The 21010-nt window shown below is 36.5% G+C and overlaps 1 protein-coding gene across 22 annotated transcripts in view; it reads left to right on the top strand.

Moving 5' to 3' along the window:
- MYO3A (myosin IIIA) overlaps positions 1–21010 on the top strand; it is a 278304-nt gene that overhangs the window by 184038 nt on the left and 73256 nt on the right. For 20 of the 22 annotated variants that reach the window (XR_930494.1, XM_011519498.3, XM_011519500.3 and 17 more), the window contains 3 exons: positions 2410–2536; positions 7132–7342; positions 10125–10272. Coding sequence is in view for 20 of the 22 variants with exons in the window: in XM_011519498.3 (XP_011517800.1) it covers positions 2410–2536; positions 7132–7342; positions 10125–10272 (486 nt within the window). In the remaining 2 variants the exon portion in view is untranslated. Of the gene's footprint in view, positions 1–2409; positions 2537–7131; positions 7343–10124; positions 10273–19932; positions 20755–21010 lie in introns of those variants that run through there. The other 2 variants (XM_011519512.2, XM_011519513.3) reach the window with 2 other exon arrangements.

A 21010-nucleotide genomic window follows, 5' to 3' on the forward strand; every position in this document is an offset into this window, starting at 1 on the left:
AAGCCATGAAAGCCCATGCTGGTTCCTTCATTGCAAGTTATACATATTACAAATGCTAATTCCTTATCAGAGTTTCCTTAGAAAAATGATCTACATCTAATATATCAGCATATGTATTGTTACACTTCTGAAATACACCCTACATCCATTTACTTCTTTCCATCTCTACCATTTACTGTTATATCCAAGCCACTGTTATCTCTCACCTAGACCATTGCAGTAGCTCCTGAGTTTTTCCATCTTGCCCCAGTCCACTCAGTTTCACAGGATAACTAGACTCATCCATTTAAAACACAAAAATAATGTTGCTTCCCACTCTGAAATCTCTGGTAGTTTTCTCTGGCAATTAGCACATAAATCAAAGCTTTTTTTTTTTTTTAATTGTGTCCCAGTCTCACTCTGTCACCCAGGTTGGAGTACAGTGGCACGATCTCGGCTCACTGAAGCCTCCGCCTCCTGGGTTCAAGTGATTCTCCTGCCCCAGCCTCCCGAGTAGCTGGGATTACAGGTGCACACCACCACGCCCCGCTAATTTTTGTATTTTTAGTAGAGATGGAGTTTCACTGTGTTGGCCAGGCTGGTCTCAAGCTCCTGACCTCAAGTGATCTGCCCGCCTCGGCCTCCCAAAGTGCTGGGATTACAGGTGTGAGCCACAGTGCCCAGCTCCAAGCTCTTTCTGTTGGCCCAGGGAGCCTGGGTGGTCTTGCCTAGGCTCACCTCTCTGAGTTCTTACTGCACTGTTCCTCCTCATCCTCACCCTCTTCCAGCCCTCGTATGTCTTCCTTCTTTCCTCTAGGAAGGTTTTTGCCTTTGCTGTCCTCTGCCTAGAATAGTTCATGTCTGGTGCCTTCCTGTCATTCAGGCCTCAACTTCCTGATGGCCTCCTCCAAGGGCAGCCTTCCCTGACCTCCTAACTGAAAAAGCCTGCCCATCCTTTCCCAGGAACTCTCCTCTTTATTAAGTTAGCACTTTTTGGCTCTATTTTCTTCGTAGCCCTTGTAATTTTTTTTCTGAACATATCATGTTATTTATTTGCTTATTTTCCTACTGTCTGCCTCCCCACGGCCTGAACACCCCAAGGAAACCAGGATCTTTAGCCTATCTGCTACTGAATTACCTGTGACTAGAACAGTGCCTGGCATAAAATATGTTTTTATTAGATCAATGAATAGATATCCCACATATATATTCATTCAACAAATATATTTGTTGTTTATGTATTTATTACATATATATGTATATTATGTATGAGTAAATGCATGCCTTGAAGATGTTTTTTCATATCCAGCTTTTATCTGGACTTGGAATATGGGAGTGAATGGAATAATCACCTTTGTTAAGTGTAGGAGCTGGGCTGGAATAGATGCAGCAACTTGTAAAAACAGTAAAGAATGTTGCCTCTTTCCTGTACTTCACTGCACCATGAACATAGTTGAAGAGCTAGAATTACCATAGACTCCTTGATAAATGCCTCCAGTGTCTCCAAAAAGAATCATATATGTGTGTTATGTGTTTCTGAATGTAATTTGATGTACCTTAATTAGGAATGTATGTTAAAGAAGTAATAACTACTATAAACTCTATACTGTCATCTAAAATTCTTATGTGGCCTGGCACAGTGGTTTACACCAATAATCCCAGCACTTTCAGAGGCCAAGGTGGGCAGATCGCTTGAGCCCAGGAGTTCGAGACCAGCCTGGGCAACATGGCGAGATCCTGTCTCTATAAAATACCAAAAAAAAAAAAAAAAAATTAGCTGGGCATGGTGGCATGCAACTGTACATCTACACAGGAGTCGCAGGTGGGTGGATCACTTCAGCCCAGGAGGCAGAGGCGGTAGTGAGCTGAGATAGTGCCACTGCACTCCATCCTGGGCAACAGTGAGTCTTTGTCTCAAAAAAGAAAAAAAAAAATCTTACGCTTACATTTAAACGACACATATCCTTTGATTTTGGTCCTGGGATCTTTTGATTTTTCTTTCTTAGTCCTCCTTTATTCATACATATAGCCTCACTTTTAAGATGGCCTCAAGGAAAATCCATATGGTAACAACCACACTAAGTTCTGAAATTAAATTCTGCATGGATAGATTTATCTATGGCCTAATGAATGAGGCATTTCTACTTCCTCTGAGAACAGCTTCTCATTTTTATTTTTTATTCATATTTGCATTTATAAAATATTTTTAAGCACTTAAAATTTATTTTAAGTAACAGGCACTATGCTAACCTCTGAGGTTAAAATAATGAATGAGGCTGAGCCTACTTGGATCTCAGTGTGGCGTCATCATAGTCTGTGGATAGATATGAAAGGGCCTGAGGGTTCTCTTCCAGTCTGTCCCCAGCCATAGTCACTGGTTGGCTGTACTCAAGGAAAGAATGATGCCAATGTTTCTGTGGTGTGTTTCAGCAACTTGGTAGTATATACAGCATACTCGCTGCAATCTTGAATGTTGGCAACATTGAATTTTCTTCTGTGGCAACTGAACACCAGATTGACAAGAGCCACATTTCTAATCATACAGCCCTGGAGAACTGTAAGTTTTATTACCTTCTATTCAAAACTGAAATCTTTCAAATCTTATGACATACCATAAGTATCACATAAGGACCATTTCAAGCAATTGTGCTAACCTAGAATCCTTAAAAGAATACTCAGATTTAATGTGTGTAAAATTAAAATTTTAAAGTCCACTACTTAAAACATCTTCATGCTTACAAATTAACTGATTACTGTAGAACACATTTCTGAAGACTAGGCTTTTACAACTATTTTGGGAGCTATTTACATTTCGATATAAAAGCACAGATAGTATAGTTAAAATTCAGTAAACTGATCTGAAAAAGAATTATGTTATTGTCTTATAGATTTAGCATCTATACCATTTTACAAGTAATAAAGACCTGTATGTTTCCATACTAGATGGATTCTACAGCCATTCATCCTGGGTTGATTAATTTTGCGATCATTTCTACACAAGAGAAGCATGTCATAGTATTTGCTTCAAATCAAGTTTTTCTTAATAGTAGAGTTTGATAAATTATTTCCAGTAATTTAAGGTTTTCCATTAATATCTTCAACAGCACAGCTTTTTTCTATTTAGTGTTGCCTAGTATGCCCTGTTATTTTATTTTTAATATTGGCACATGCTTTCATAATTGCATATTTGCTGTTTCATTAATAATAACAAATGGAGAATCACTCCTCGTCCAAAAGCTCACACCTCTAATCCCAGTACTTTGGGAGGCCGAAGCTGGTGGATCACCTGAGGTCAGGAGTTTGAGACCAGCTTGGCCAACATGGTGAAACCCTGTCTCTACTAAAAATACAAAACTTAGCCAAGCATGGTGGTACACGCCTGTAGTCTCAGCTACTCGAGGAGGCTGAGGCAGGAGAATCGCTTGAACCCAGGAGGCAGAGGTTGCAGTGAGCCGAGATCGTGCCACTGCACTCCAGCCTGGACGACGGAGCAAGACTCTGTCTCAAAACACACACACACACAAAATGGAGAATCATGATACAAATTTTTATTTATATACTTTTTCCTGATTTATGCTTAGGAACAGAGTGAGATGGTGTAGTTTTAGGGGGCTAAGTGCCAGATTATCCTGGTCTGGACCTGTCCCCAGCATCCCTATAAATGCTATCCCACTGTGTCTCTGGAGCCAATGTGATAATACAGTAGCACAAGTGTATGGAATTGGCATGTAGTGACCGGCATGTGCCTGGAAACCTCAAGGAAACATGTTCTAATTTTCCATATTTAAAAATTTTTAATTGGCATGTATGATATTAACTTATCAGAAGTAGAAAGAATAACCCTACAACTCCATTGATAAGATGTAAATCTCACATCTGATCATATTCAGAAGAGCTAGCAGCAGCCAATGGAATGAGTTGCAATAGAGATAGGTTGTAGATAAGAGTATACCTAGAAACAACCATACTAAAAAATGATTTTGATGATTGAGAACCTATTTCTGCATAACAGAAGACAGTCATATAAGTTACAAAATGTTGATATTAATATGAATATCATTAAAATTAACATACTTTCTGGAATAACCACTCATGGAAAGTAGAAACTTTATTAATTTACATTAAAATGATTTCTAATTGAAAGTTATAAGGAATTATGTCCAAACCAAGGCTGCATTTCCATATGGTTTTACAAGAGCCTTGTTTCAATTAAGCACCAGTTCTGACCATTTTGTCCCATAAATATCTCTCAAATCTGACCACTTCTCTTTATCATCATTGTCACCATTCTCATCAAAAACAACATCACCTCTCACCTGAACTAAGTGACCTCCCAGTTGTTCATTTCACATCAAGAATTGATTTTTTCCAGGTCATTCTCCACAATTCTTTCAGAAACCACATAACCCATCTATCAGTGGGCTCTCTCAGTCTCCCCCTTTCCCTCTCCATCACCTCCCTCTCCCCCTCCTTCTCCTTCTCCTCCTTCTCCTTTTCTCTTCCTGCTTAAATTTCTTACTGGTTTCCCATTCTTGCTGGATAAAGATAATCAAGACTAGTGCTTTGTTTTATAAAGTATTGTGCTTAGCAATTTATCCCCAGGTAAAATGCCTAGCATGTAGTAGACAATAAATGTATGTCAAATAAATAAACAATGTAGGAACAGAAATAGACATACAGATCAGTGGGAGACACTGTTCAGAAACAGATCCAAAGTATATTACCAAAAATGGCATCACAGATCACTAGGGAATCGGTATTGTAGGGAACTAGCTAACCATTTTGGGGAGGAGGAATTTGAATCATTCTTATATACTGTATATCAGAATGAATTCCAAACACACATAAATTTAAATGCAAAAAAATCATAAGAGAGACTGGAATTGATTTATATAATATTGAGGGGAGAAAGGACTTGAAGTTTATGTGTAGAAAATCAAAAGCACAAATTATTTTCTTTAAAAAGTGGATATTTGACTACATAAAAATTAAAACTTTTATACTAAAAAAAGAAAGCATAAATAAAATTGCAGTACAAATGAAACTGAGGGAAAATATTTGCAACATATATATCAAAGCATTTCTTTAAGCTATGAAGAGGCTCATATAAATTGATCAGGAAAAGATGAACATATCAATGAAAATATTGCAATTTTCAAACTAAGCAACAGAAGTTACCAATAAAAATATGGAAGAAAAAAGTATTCAGCTTCACTAGGAATCAATTACAAATAAATAGAAAACATTTTCTCCTATCAAATTGGCTATTTTAGAAAAATGATAGTCCGTGATGTCCATGAAATTGAATTGAAGTTATTGGTGTTTTATTTGGCTGAGAGGAGTGTAATTGGTTCAGAGATTTTGAAGAGCAGTTAAATAGTATATATCAAAAAACTTTCAGCCAGGCCCAGTGGCTCACGCCTGTAATCCCAGCACTTTGGGAGGCCAAGACGGGCAGATCACGAGGTCAGCAGATCGAGACCATCCTGGCTAACACAGTGAAACCCCGTCTCTACTGAAAATACAAAAAAATAGCCAGGCGTGGTGGCGGGCACCTGTAGTCCCACCTACTTGGTAGGCTGAGGCAGGAGAATGGCGTGAACCCAGGAGGCGGAGCTTGCAGTGAGCGGAGATCGTGCCACTATACTCCAGCCTGGGTGACAGAGCAAGACTCCATCTAAAACAAAAAACAAAAAACAAACAAACAAAAAAGACCTTTCTTGATCCCAGGAGTTCGAGGCCAGCCTGGGCAACATGGCGAAACACTATCTCTACCAAATAATAATAATAATAATTAGCCAGGCAGGTTGTCATGCGCCTGTGGTCCCAGCTGCATGGGAGGCTGAAGTAGGAGGATCTCTTGAGCCCAGGAGTTTGAGGCTGCAGTGAGCCATAATTGTGCTGTAGCACACCAGCTTGGATGACAGAGCGAGACTTTGTCTCAAAAAAAAAAAAAAAAAAAAAACTTTTACATATTTACGTATTTTGAAAAATTGCTGAATTTAGGCAACCTATGCTAAGAAAATAGTACAAAATATAAACACAGATTTATGCTTAAAATATTTATCCTGGCATTTTTTAAAATTATTGATATATTATCATATTTGTCAAAATATTATGCAGCAAATTAAAGCATATTTACAGACAATATTGAACAAAATGGGAAATGCATAAGATGTTATATGAGATAAAATGTTTATGCAGACTAATGGTAGTAAATATGCCTAGAAGGAAAGAAATGCAGAATGTTAACTTAGAAGGTAAAATTTCTGCAATGAGCCTATCGTACTTCCACGATATGAAAAAATATAGGGTTTAACAATCTTAGCCATATAACCAAGAAACATCTTGTCACAAGTGCTAAAAGTAAATGTAAAATGTTCAAAATATTTTAAAAGGAGAACAACAGATTTGAAAAATTAGCCAATCTGTCATGTAATAGTTTTGGTTAAAGATGTTTATTATATTCAAAAATGAGTTTTGTTCACGGAATTAAAGTGTTACTAATTTTAAATTCCCCATGAAATGTAATCAACATTAAATGCCAAATAAATGTTTGTTCAAACATCCAGTTTTAACAAAATTTAGTAATTGAAGTATGAAACTAAAAAGTAGGATGATATGTACATGAATGTCAAGTATAAGTACATGAATGTCAAGATAAGTTTGTGCTCTTTCTGTTGTGTATTGCAGAAGGTACTTGAAATACATTTATTGAGGTATACCCCTGAAGTCTAAGTAACCTGTTCCAGTTAATTTCTACATTTTGAAAATATGTATATAATAATGGTATCCAAATTATGCCAAATCTATTCATTATGTTTTAAAATTATTTAGCATAATTTAGTGAAACTATATTTGACATCACATAAACAACCACTCGCTTATGCAGCTGTATTACTCTGCCAGCCAGTGTGATTTGGGTTATGTTATAATATGCAGTAACCTAAGTTTAACCAGCTGAGAAAAGTTGAGAAAAATGATCAAGAAGAGACATAGGACTCATGTTGGATAGTATCATATTTTTACATTACATAATCTCCACACATTTAATTCATGTCATTTGAAGAAGGCAGATTAAGACATTTTCATTTTTGGGGAGTGACCTCATTGCCATAATTTCTTCTAACAATGCATCTGTTTGTTTTTCAGGTGCTTCTTTGCTTTGCATTCGGGCAGATGAGCTACAAGAAGCTCTCACCTCCCACTGTGTGGTCACTAGAGGAGAAACAATTATACGACCCAATACTGTAGAAAAAGCTACCGATGTCAGGGATGCCATGGCTAAAACTTTATATGGACGTCTCTTTAGTTGGATAGTCAATTGCATTAACAGTTTGTTGAAGCATGACTCATCACCAAGGTAAAAATTTTTACAGAAACATTTTTTTCCCAAATGTCAGGTGATGTAAGTCTACTTTCTAATTGATTGTTTTGTATAGATCTCTTTCAAGATGTTTCTATAATTGATGTAATTAAATTATTAAAATGATAATTTAGTAGATAAGCTTCACTTCCTAATAGTTCCACCTCATAATGCCACTTAACTATAAAATTTTTAAGTTGCTGCAACATAAAACCTGTAGCAACATAAATAACACAATAGAAAGTGAATTCTTAAAATGTGATATCTTACTATGAACTAATAGGTTTTTTTAATTAGAAGTTGTACCATGAAGCATATACCATTTTATGCTTGTATAAAATGTCAGCTCAGCAGTCCTTTGTTTTTATTTTGAAGGTTTAAATTAAACTTTGAAGATAAAGGAAAACTTTATTTTCATATTTTAACTCTCACTGTAATGCCATTACAGCCTCACTGTAACTCCAATGAAATTTGGTTCAGAAATGCACTAGATAAATGTAGGTAATAGTAAATGGCAGGGCCATGATGTAAGCATTGTTATCTGACTGTAAGTCTAGATCCTTCCTTCTTAAAGATAATTACAGCCACGACTGACTGAGTGCTCTCTATAGGCAGGGCTTATACATGGACACAAGTCCTTCCATCTAAAGCTTTGTTCTGTGATAAATGGCATAATCTTTAGAATTTTGCATGTGGAAAAGCAAGATGGATGCCTACCATAAGATCACCTCATTCACACTTGCTTACTAAGCATAAAAGACCATTTATACACATTTCAAGTATGCAATTCATTATTATTTTTTTCACTAAAATACATACCACACCATTATACTATGTATAGTCAAACTGTCTAAGACCTTATCCATTATTTCTCCATGTTCTTAACTTTGTGTCTCTCAAAATTGCTTGTGTACCTCCTGGGTACTATCTATACCATTTTCCCATTACAATGTAATGGTCAAAATGGTTGTATGTTCTGGTACGGTCATCTATATTATGTCAAGCATTCATATGAAAATGGAAAATATTCAGGGATTTTTATTATCTGTATATTCCAGAAAATGTAGGCAAGATGGCAAGATATTTAGAGATTTGGCCTCATTTTGTTAATTATCATCTGCATGTTTGGCACTAAATGATACCTACCCAGAAGGGGGATCTACTATATCCACTGTAGCCTATGTACTAAATGTACATATACTAAATATACTAAATGGCAACTTTCCTTTCCATTCACTAATGAAAACCATCCAAATCTTAGATTTTAAAATTTTTTACAGAAAGTCTAAAAGCTAAAGGGAGACCAATTGAAATAATTTAGTTCAACTTTGTTAAGTTGTACACTAAGACTTTAAACGGTATATGTTGTATGCTGGGCTTTGCCACTATCTCGTTATGGGACACTGGGCAACTTACTGCATTTGTCTGGGTCTTTCCCTCCTCAACTGTTAAATAGGGGCATTGAATGACAAGTCAGTGGTCTTAGTTGTTGGGGTGTATCTTGGAGCCTTTTAAGAACGTCTTGAAAACTGCCTATTTCCTTCACTTAAAAATAAAAAATAGATATATTTCTATATGCCCACGAAAATATTGCACGCTTATGATTCCATTCCTCTTGAAAGCCATTAATAGATCTTACTTTAAGAATCTCTGAACTAGATTATTTGTAAGGTCCCTCCTGCTTCTAACACTTTTTTATGCAATGAGTTAAATATTTATCTCTGTGGGATCCTGTGGGGCAAAGAGATTGTAAAAGGATAATAATCTTGACTAAACCAGCATAAGTTTTAACTAGACATCTTGCCTCATACAATAATACAGAATTATTATTCAAAATAAGAACTTTCAGAAATACTCAAATAGCTTTCCTTTTGTCCATCCCAGCACATATTTAAAGTATTCTACAGCCTGGATTTTGAATTCAGTTGCTTCCTCCAAATGTAGAGCGGATCCTTCAGGTCACAGTGTGCAGTTGCTGACTGTCATTTCCAAATCACTTCCTTACATAATACTAAGTGTAACCCTGGAACACCTAAATGATGAACACAAAGAGAAGCTTTTGTACTTTCTTTTTATAATTCACATCAAAATAACTCTACAATGTATATATTTCTTTGGGGAGGAGTAAACCTTTTGACCAATAGTAAAAAAAAAAAAAAGTATTTGAAATACTTAATTGTAAAATAAAATTTAATTATATTTTAAAGTATTTAAATGTAAAAATAAATCCCTATGTATTTGTATTTCTCCAGTTTGCCATTTGTTCTATATTAAAAAATTATAAGCAAATGATCCAAAAACAAATAACAATTCTTTAAAATAATTAAGATCTTTTTAGTAAGATTTTCAAAATTGTTCTCCTAAAATGAAAGACTATACTTTTTAACAGAATTTTTGCTTTCCTGGGAGAGTTTTTATTGAATATGTTTTTGCTGTGTTCTAATTGCTTCCCAAGTTGTTCTTGTAATTCCTGACTCACTCAAGCCTGTGACTTTGTTCTTAGGAGAAGAAAAAGTTTCTTTTGTTTCAGTGTATAAAAGTATCGGAGTGGTTTCTGTAGTTCAAGGAAAATATTGTTTCATTTTCATATAAAAATCAATATCTGCCGTTATCTTTATGTGCTACAGAGAGAAGCTATTTCAGTTAAGAAAGTTTCACTCTAAGTGTATGTTCTTATAGTAGTTTCTTAGCTCAGTCACAAATGGTAACTCTAAGATTCCCTGTTTTACATTACCTCTTCAGGAAATAACTCAAAATAATGCCTCTTCAATTCTTCTAGTGGGAATGGTGATGAGCTGAGCATTGGCATTCTTGATATATTTGGCTTTGAAAATTTCAAAAAAAATTCCTTCGAGCAGCTGTGCATTAACATTGCAAATGAACAAATTCAGTATTATTATAATCAACATGTGTTTGCATGGGAACAGGTAAGTCTAAGTACTTACTATAAATATGCATGCATGCATGTATTATAGGCAGACTTGTACAAATGAAGCAGGACCTTAACCATAGATTTAATGCCTTAAACATTTTAGAAAGACAAAAGATTTTTATTATCTCCACGTCCATAGTAAAAACAAACAAAAACAAAAAAACTGGTGTGAATTTAGTGTGACTGATATGTGATGTTAAATGTCCTCCATTGAAAATCGGTACACTCTTCTCCAAAACTTAGAATTCTGAGCCTTTGTAAACGAAGATATTTCCTTTGAAAATTTAAGTAGACAGATGCGTCCAACAGTTTTTCTTTCTGTAGACTACATAGCTGAAATTCCTTTTGAAATTTCAATATCCAGCTAAAAGCCATTAAACTTCAGAATTCCAGTAGCTAGGCAACAGAATATAAGATAATGGGTTTGATGCAAATGCCATGAAATGATCATTTTGTCAGGGTACAATGTGTAATTTATGAATCAGCTTCAAAAAATATTCCTCCTTAGAGAAAAATCAGACTTAAATCACATTTGATGTACTGTAATACTAAGAATACTTAAATTATTTTATTAAATCTAAAGGAGTCATATTTAATATCATCCAGTATGTCATTTTTCTCCTTCAAGTAATATTATATTGTTTTGCATTTAAATTAGAGGTACATGAACTTCATTTTATTCAAAATATTTAGGCTTCTTAAGAGTTTATTTTGGAATTACATTTTGAAAACAGTGGTCACAAAATAAAACATTTCGATTTTGACATTTCTTAAGCCAAAAGAAGACATAAATTTAAGACCTTATCTAGTTGTTCAGCTCTTTTTCATCTATCCCAGGATGTTCCATCAAATATTCATTCCCTCTCCCTCTCTTCCTCTTCTTGTCTCCTCTGCTCCTCTCTGTCGGTGCCCTCCCATAGCCTAGATATGCGAAGAAATATCTTTAAAATCTTAAAAGCAAACAGAATAAAAAACAAAGCCCTTTTCCACTCTGCTTATCTCTGTAGCATGGTCCTCTCTTTTCCCCTCACAGCCAAGCTCCTTGAAAGCATGTTCAGCACTCACTGCATTGCGTTTCTTCCTTCCCCATCTGGTACTTTGAGGCGTATCTGGCTGTGACCTCCCCAATTCCCCTGGAATGGCCCTTCCTCATCTCATCAGTCATTAGTTCATTTTTGTCTTTCTCACTAGGCATCTCCTTTAGATCATATATTGTGTCTTAATTCTTTTTGTCTTTTTAGAGGCTGACACGTAGCAAGTGTTCAATAAGTAATGTTGCCTTGCTTTAATGCTTCACAATACTCACAGCATCCATTTGAACCAGAGACCAAAACAAGTAAAAAATTTTTGGTTTGAACTTTTTGATATGATCTATCAGAATTGCTAACTTTATGGGACCAGGTGTATCCCCATGCATTGCTCATGTGATGAATTAGTGACTTGCATTGGTAGATCTCTGTTGTTCTTTTGGTGGTTGGGTAGACTCTGGTTTTAGCCTTAACCAAGGTACAGATATTTCAATAATTATTGCTTTTCACTGTTTATAAAATGTTAGTTTACAAATTGCTTTTTTTTTTTTGAAACAGAGTCTCACTCTGTCACCCAGGCTGTAGTGCAGTGGGGTGGTGTTGGCTGACTGCAGCCTGCGCCTCCCAGGCTCAAGCAATCCTTCTGCCTCAGCCTCCCAAGTAGCTGGGACCACAGGCATGCACCACCACACCTGGCTAATTTTTGCATTTTTTCATGGAAACGGGGTTTCACCATTTTGGCCAGGGTGGTCTTGAAATCCTGGGCTCAGGCTCAGCAATCTGCCTGTCTCGGCCTCCCAAAGTTCTGTGATTACAGGCATGAGCCACCAATCCTGGCCTACAAGTTGCTTTGATTGCTGGCCTTGAATTTCATTCATGATCCCAATGCTCTTAATTCTTTTGTCTAAGGGCTTGTTACAAAACTTATTCTATAAAGCCCTTTAAGATACCCTTGAGAGGATTTTGAAATAAAACAACTCAAAATTTCCCCCAACAAAATAAAACATTCAACTAGAATCCAGGATTATACAAAGCATTTTGAGGAATTAAAACAATTTCCAGTCCTTTCAGGTGCCTTCCTAGAATAACTATCTAGGAATTTCTGCTTCATAGTCTTATGAACCAGACATTGGCAGTTGAGTATGATCAGATTGCTGAATGTGTTATCCAGAAGATACAGAATTAGTCAATGACTCTCTTGATTTTAACACGTGAGTGTACTTGTTTTTTCTTTCTAACTCCCAGGTGAATGCTGAAAATGTAACTGAGAAAAGCTAACTAATTGTATGTAGCTATCACAGACAAAGAGCACACTTACACTAATTTCTGTAAATGAGAAACTGCTATTAAATCTTGAATTAAAGTCTTGGTCTACATTTTTTGGTCGAATATAATTACAGATTTGACCTAACTGAGAGCTCCTTAGTTTAATAGAGCCATTATTGCCTATTATTTCAGAAAGAAATAGTGTTCTTACTTTCATGAGACTTACAAATGATCCGGCCAGATCTCGGCACAAGTCTTGGGCAGCACCTTTACAGATGAAACACCTCTGTTCCTGCTTAAACCAATAAACATTATTTTTATTGACAGTTGTACAACACTGGAACATAAATAACAGTCTGCTGAAAGCATTTTCCTATTTAGTCCAATTTCAGTGTATTTGTAATAGACAGTGGGACACTCCAGCAAAGCTGTTTACAATGGTATTTTGAATATCATAATATCATTTTCCCATTGCCTTCCATTAAAAAAAGATCAAGAAACTACAGTAAAACATTTTTTTGTGAAAGAATTTATGATGGTGACCCAATCTATAGCATGCAGAGTAGATAGTTTTATGTTTCTTGGAATTGTTTCCACCTGTTTGCATTACCTTTGAAACATTTTCCTAAATCCAGGAATCTCTATTATCCACTCACTGGCAGCTATACCTCCTTTCTCTTATAGCCTGCTTTCCCATGGACAGTTACTATATGCCTCAGAATCTCTTAGTAACAACCTGGAGCATCCACTTTGTATCCCTTTATTTTCCTTATTATCTAGATATTTAGAATGTTAAGAGAGCTTGTGTATAGAAGCATTATTTTTCTATGTGTAAAATATGTAGCTCCTAAAATTTTCCTGGAGTTTGATATTTTATAGTATTTGAAGCTTTTACAGTTTCCCGGCACTGGGAGAATAATTTTATGTATATTTATTTTAATGAAATCTAAAGATACTATTTGTATCTCAATAGTTTGAAAATTAGATGGTAATCTATGTCCCCACCCTGCAAATAGAAGATGATCAGCCAAGAAGTATAGTTGTAATTATTTTAAAATTTAAGACTCAACCCCTTCTAAATGAGTTGCAGCCAAAAAGTATATAATTTACTCTCAATTGTATCAATTCCACAAATATAGTATTCATATTTCAGCCTTCGCTATTACATTCGTACACCATTATTGTGTCATACACTGTCAACTTCCATTTTCTGAGAGGCTTTTATTTTGCAGCTCAAATGGCAGTATTCCATTGCCAAGAAAGGAAGTGTTTTTTTCACAATAGCCCTCATGCTGAATTTCCACGATAAATATGTAGCCAAGGTTTTGGTTTTGTTTGTTTGTTTTGTGGTTTTCTTCCGTCGGAAAGGGAGCTTAACAGTAATCAAACTGTGATATAACGACTGAAGTTCTCTGGAATCACCTATCTCATATTAGAATCCCACATGAGAAATGTACATACCTTGTCAAAAGTGTTCTCATGCAGCTGCTGTAGTGGTGGTTTTTGTCCTTTGTCTTAATTTTGCACTGTGGTATCATCATTGTGGTATAGAACATACAAAAGAAATGCTCCCTGCTCCCTAGAAGTTTATACTTCAAATCAAGGGGAGTACATACCAAGGACTGGTCAATCCTGGGCATGACTTTGAATTGGAACAAATGCCACTGTTCTTAAGGGCCAGTGAGCACCTAGAACATGTGTATGATGCTACAGCGTATTGATCTAGAATCCTGAAAATTCACTCCACTTATTTATGTGTGCCTATTTGTATTTTGGATAAGCTTTCTTCATCCATTAGAGCAGCACATCTGACTATTAACTGAACTAAAGTTTTTTTTTTTAAATGAGCTATTACTATTTATTTCTGTAGAAGGATGAGCTTTTACAGACATCATTTAGACATGCATCTATGGGTTTGGAACTGAATGTCAGAAGTAGTTTTAGAAGCAGGAAACTATTACTATTTACAGCACATAATGGAAACAATAACTGCAATTATGGCTCTAGCTTCTCTTGCAGAAAGTAATGTGTATGACTCTCATCTCCAGCTGCTCACATTCTAAAGTTTACAGTGTTTGAGATTTTAAATGTGGGCTCCAACACATAATTTGTGGCAATTACAAAGAATAAAAATTCACTTAATATAAAATACCTACATTTTCAAAACTTTTTACATTATAAAGTAAAAACCAGTCATTTGATTTTTAAAAATGTGTGGATGATTAAAAATAACCCCCTTATCAGTGTCTTCACATTGTTTTGCTCAAAAGTGTGAATTATTATTTTAAGTTCAACTTTCTTCCCTATTAAGTCATATGTGTGCAAATGGTAACATTTGTCCCATTTTAGCTCTCCAAGTGATAAGCATTTCCTTTAAGTGTCAAAGCAGCCAAATACATTTGAGAAGCCCTTAATACAACAAATCTTCCTTTTTAAGTGCTTGACCAAGTGTTAGGTTATTAAATATTCCTTAAATGTTTCACACACTGAAGATGGCAGCTGATGTCCACGTGGTTGGTTGGTTGGAGGTGTTTCGGGACCCTTGCAGCAGCTCTGGGCTGTGGACCTGTTGCTCTTCTCTCCCTCTGGCTTCGCAGACGGCCTCTCAGGCTCTGTGTTCCTCATCCCTGCTAGGCAGCTGCGTAGCACACTTAGTCTGTTTCTCTTTCATTGGTGAAGTTTGGTCGACACCCTTAATGTGATGTGGGGATTTGTGGTACTTATTTTGATGATTTAATGATATTCTTAAATTTAAAAGGTTTTTTTTCTTTTCTGAGTTGGGGTCTTGCCCTGCTGCCCAAACTAGAGTGCAGTGGCACAATCAAGACTCACTGTAGCATCGAACTCCTGAGTTCAAGTCATCCTCCTACCTCAGCCTCCTGAGTAGTTGGGGCCACTGGCGTGTACCACCATACCTGGCTAAATTTTCAGAAGTTTTGATAAAAAGTAATTCTCAGTGAAATACATAGTTAGAAGTCTAGATCCATATGATAGTACTGTCGTTTTCTACATGTGAGGTTAGAGCATACTATTGACAAACCAAAATACAATTTTTTGGTAAAGATTTAAACATGGCAGTAATGGAAAAATAGTTTAAGGTGAAAGAGATCCTGATATACAGAACACTGTATTTCTGAATTTCTAATCCAAATGCCTCCTTATTCTAAGCTGATACCTATTAATAGAATATAAATTTGTAAAATCCTTTATGTCTCTTAAATAGTTTTGAGAAACAGGTATCATATCCAAAAAGTGACTAAATTGGAATTTTCATCTTAGCATGCATTAGTATATATATTTTTTTCTGAATAAGGAAGCTGCTGTAGGGAGAAATATTCTAAAACTCATCTCTTCAAATTTTAGTAAAATGGATGTAAAATAAAACATGAATATTTTATTAGGAATTATCCAAAATACTTTCTCATTAGGTTATTTGTCATATTCTGAATTAATGACTTGTGTCATCTCAAGTTAATGATGGCCAGCATTCTCTGTGACTTGCTATTAACATTAACATAAAAACTAACAGGATCATCAATATCAGCTTCAAATAGAAAATACAGGAAGAAATAGATTTCAAATCATAAATCTTATTTCATAACAAGAGTTCACGTTTTTACAGGACAAGTATTATCACTGTTTTTTAGAATTTAAAAAAGTTATTTCATTAAAGTATTATTAAAATATGTGTATATAGAAAGAGAGAATGAAAAATCAAACATGATGAAGCTTAACAATTGTGGAATAAACACCATGTAAAGGGTACACAGGAGTTCTTTGTACTATTCTTGAAATTTTCTGTAAGTTTTAAATTATTTCAAAATGAAAAGTGGCAAAAGTTTTTTTTTCACTGTAATAAACATAAAACATACTCAGTTCATCCTGAGTTATGGTAGCACCCTTAAAGAAATCTTAGATTTTCAACCTTTAAAATCTTTCTGTTTGATAAAGGAGGATTTTTGTCAATGGTTAGAATAAGCAACTTCTTCTCAATGGTTTCTCTCTACCCTGGGCAATGTTTTCATGAATAGGCACACTCATTTGAGCAGGGGTGAGTAAGAGTTCTTTTACTAAAATACAGACTTCAGGGACTATATATGTCTATGTAGCTTCTTTCCTGTTGCAAACGTTCTGTCCACAGTCTTAACCACATTTATTCATTGAGTTTTATAACATATCCAAGCAGTTGTGCATTCTGAAATATTAGAAGAAACCTAAATAGGTTATCTATATTTCATTGATTAAAATGACTCCCTCTCCTCAACTGTGATTTGCCCAAGGTTATAGGACAGTGAAATGAAACCAGGACCAGAGTAAAGGGCTTCTGACAGCTATCCATGGTTTTTCTCATGAACAAACAAGTAAGCAAAGAACAGGGATCTAGTAAAGTAATCTCCTGTGCAGAAGAAAAAGGTGCTCTTTCCTTCTTTCTTTCTAAATAGATAAGAGCACCTTTTTCTTCTTCATAGGATATTACTTTATTAGAATAATCTATTAGATTATTAGGTTATTAATTCATAAATATAAATTATTATTTAATTATTAGATTATTTCTGTTGGATTAGAAAGAAGGAAAGAAAAGAAGCATAAGTCAGTCTTAACATGAAAAGCCAAGGAGAATCAACATAAGGCAGGATAAAAGAAGGCAGGAAATCCCAGGGAGCACTTAGGCTGGCAGCAGAGGCTGGCAAGGGTTGTGACAGCTGGAGACCCCTCACAGGAAGGAACTAGAACTAGAAGGTGGAACAACTGAAAAGGAGAATACAGCCACAAGCAAAGAAATCTCAGACATGATTTTAGGGTTGGAATGGAAAGGCAGAGAGCATCTTTGCCATGTCCTAAAGAACAGAAACTCGACCGGGCGCAGTGGCTCACGCTTGTAATCCCAGCACTTTGGGAGGCTGAATCACCTGAGGTCAGGAGTTTGAGACCAGCCTGGCCAACATGGCGACACCTCATCTCTACTAAAAATACAAAAATTAGCCGGGCATGGTGGTGGGTGTCTAGAATCCCAGCTACTCGGGAGGCTGAGGCAGAAGAATCGCTTGAACCCAGGGGCCAGAGGTTGCAGTGAGCTGAGACTGGGTCCACTTCACTCCAGCCTGGGTGAAAGAGCAAAACTCCATCTCAAAAAAAAAAAAAAAAAAGAACAGAAACTCTATCTTTCTGATCTTTAAATTCTACCTTCCCCGGCCCCATCTACCCCTAACCACACACAGAGTAGGCACTCCTCGAACATTTCTGGAATTTGAGTATATCACATCCTCTCCAGTGATCTGTACAAAGACAGCATCACAAACCCAGGTGAATTGCCAGTGCCATCTCATGATATAAATCTCATTCTTCCTTCCTTGACCTAAAATGGGTAGGACCATAAAAAAGTGGACTAAACTTATAAAAATAAGAGATACTGATTTATGACTTGAAAACAAACACAGGAGAATATTGAGGGTCATATATACCAGCTATTAACATTTCCCCATTCTGAAATATCTACAACTGTGGAGCAGTGTCAAATGGTGAACTTGCCTATCAGAGAAGGCTATGACATTGTTCCCCAGGTGTAAGTTCTGTGAAAGAACTAAGTGTTCCCTGTCACTGCATATACCAGCCTTTTATAAAAGAAAGATGTCACGAGCCAAAGTCCTCAAATCACTTCAATTGGTGACTTTGGAAGAATCTTTTTAAAACTTTGGGCTTGGATAAAACTGTCAGAAGGTAGTAGAGAGTGTTCTCCTATAGTAAAATGATGAGGTGGTGTGTCAGAGGGAGTGGGGAGAAGACTGTTCTAGAACCTGTCTATTTTTTACTTGAGGATGTAGTCAGCCTACTTAAGCAGTGTTCATCTACTGCTATCTGGATTGGTGCTAAGAAATAAAAACACACTAAGTACAGATTGGCTGGGCATGGCAGCTCACACCTGTAATGCCAGCACTTTGGGAGGCCAAGGTCAGCAGGATCACTTGAGGCCCGGGAGTTTGAGACCAGCCTGGCCAACATGGTGAAACTCCATCTGTAATAAAAATACAAAAATTAGTGGGGCATGGTGGCATGTGCCTGTACCCAGCTACTCAGGAGGCTGAGGCATGAGAATTGCTTGAACCCAGGAGGCAGAGTTTGCAGTGAGCAGAGTTCGTGCCACTGCACTCCAGCCTGGGCCACGGAGCAAGACTCTGTCTCAAAAAACAAAACAAAAAAAAAAGACCCAGTAAGTACAGGTTGATTGGTCTGGTGTGTACTAATGTAGGTGATGAGACTATATAAAAAATAAAATTATTGTTGATTCTTAAAGATTTAGGTACTACATAGAAGGGCAATAAATATTCATTTCTGAGTGCTAAAGTTATTTGTGAACTAGAAATGTAGGTTATTCTATATTTTAAATTATTCCAGACATGGGTAATTTCAGAACTTCAACTAAGGAAACAAAGATTTGAAATAGTTCACTGTTGCGGGAAGTCAGGGACCCTGAATGGAGGGACAAGCTGGAGCTGCGGCAGAGGAACATAAATTGTGAAGATTTCATAGACATTTACTAGTTCCCAAATAACACTTTCATAATTTCTTATGCCTGTCTTACTTTAATCTCTTAATCTTGTTATCTTTGTAAGCTGAGGATGTGTGTCACCTCAGGACCACTGTAATAATTGTGTTGACTGTACAAATTGATTGTAAAACGTGTGTTTGAACAATATGAAATCAGTGCACCTTGAAAAAGAACAGAATAACAGCGATTTTAGGGAACAAGGGAAGACAACCATAAGGTCTGACTGCCTGCAGGGTCGGGCAAAAAGAGCCATATTTTTCTTCTTGCAGAGAGCCTATAAATGGACATGCAAGTAAGGAAGACATCACTAAATTATTTTCCTAGCAAGGATTAATACTCTGGGAAAGGAATTCATTCCTGGGGGAGGTCTATAATCGGCTGCTCTGGGAATGTCTGTCCTATGTGGTTGAGATAAGGACTGAGATATGCCCTGGTCTCCTGCAGTACCCTCAGGCTTACTGGAGTGGGGAAAAACCCCACCCTGGTAAATTTGAGGTCAGACTGGTTCTCTGCTCTCAAACCCTGTTTTCTGTTGTTTAAGATGTTTATCAAGACAATATGTGCACTGCTGAACATAGACCCTTATCAGTAATTCTGCTTTTACCCTTTGCCTTGTGATCTTTGTTGGACCCTTATCAGGAGTTTCTGATTTTGCCCTTGTCCTGTTTCCTCAGAAGCATGTGATCTTCATTCTCCTTTTTGCGCTTTGAAGCATGTGATCTTTGTGACCTACTCCCTGTTCTTGCACTGCCTCCCCTTTTGAAATCCTTAATAAAACTTGCTGGCTTTAAGGCTCAGGTGGGCATCACGGTCCTACTGATATGTGAGGTCACCCCCAGTGGCCCAGCTGTAAAATTCCTCTCCTTGTACTGTTTATCTTTATTTATCAGCCAGCTGACACTTATGGAAAATAGAAAGAACCTACGTTGAAATATTGGGGGCAGGTTCCCCCGATAGTTCACCATTATTCTAGTCCATCTTCCCAACTAATGGTACCTCATTTAGGTCTTCCAACTGTATTTTTTATTATTAGAAATCTGACTTCTAACAATGTTTTAGAATTCTGTTAAAAGTCAAATTCTAAGGAACACTTGAAGACTGTAGCTTGTCATATCTCAAGAACCTTCTGATAAGATTATGTTATGATAATAATATCATCATCATGGTGATAGAAGGAAAAATTTCCAAGCTTGGGGCTTACATTTTTCTTCAAAATGACTCATATTATTGAAAGGCAAGAGAAGTCTTACTTCGTATGCCACAGAGAGGCAATGCAAGAGCAATAGAAGCAGTGTGAGCAAGCTGACAAGGAAGGAGTCTAGACCTGCAGGCGAGGGCTACAGAAACCATAGCTGATGTTGTGACTGCCCTTGTCAAGTCAGTCCACTGAGATCAAACTCAAGAGGATGATTTCCCCAGGAAAGTCACTCAAATGCCAGCTTCATGAATGGATTCCTGTGGAATGTTGTCCCACAACCAAGAGGACACACAGAAGGAAATGGGAAAGAGACCAGGGAGCAAACATCAACCTGACACCAAGGATGTTTTCAAGAAAGTCCTGGAGCCTTTCCCTTCATTTAACTCTGTCTGATTGCTAGCTTCACAAATCGTCAGCAACATCACAACAACTGATGCTGTAAGGAAGCCTCTGAGTCCAAAACACGTCATGTTTCTTATTATGTGGTTTCAAAACAATAATACTCCTAATAATAGCTGACAGGCATTAAGTATGTAGTATGTGCTAAGCATGTATCTACTTTATTTCCCCCAAAATCTATCCTCTTAAGTAAATACATAATCAAAGAAATGCAAATACAATAGGCTACAATTTCCCCCATCAAAAATAGATTAAAAATATATATATTTTTTGAGATGGAGTTTCATTCTTGTTG

Source organism: Homo sapiens, chromosome 10 (genome assembly GCF_000001405.40).
Source record: "Homo sapiens chromosome 10, GRCh38.p14 Primary Assembly".
Lineage (NCBI taxonomy): Eukaryota > Metazoa > Chordata > Mammalia > Primates > Hominidae > Homo > Homo sapiens.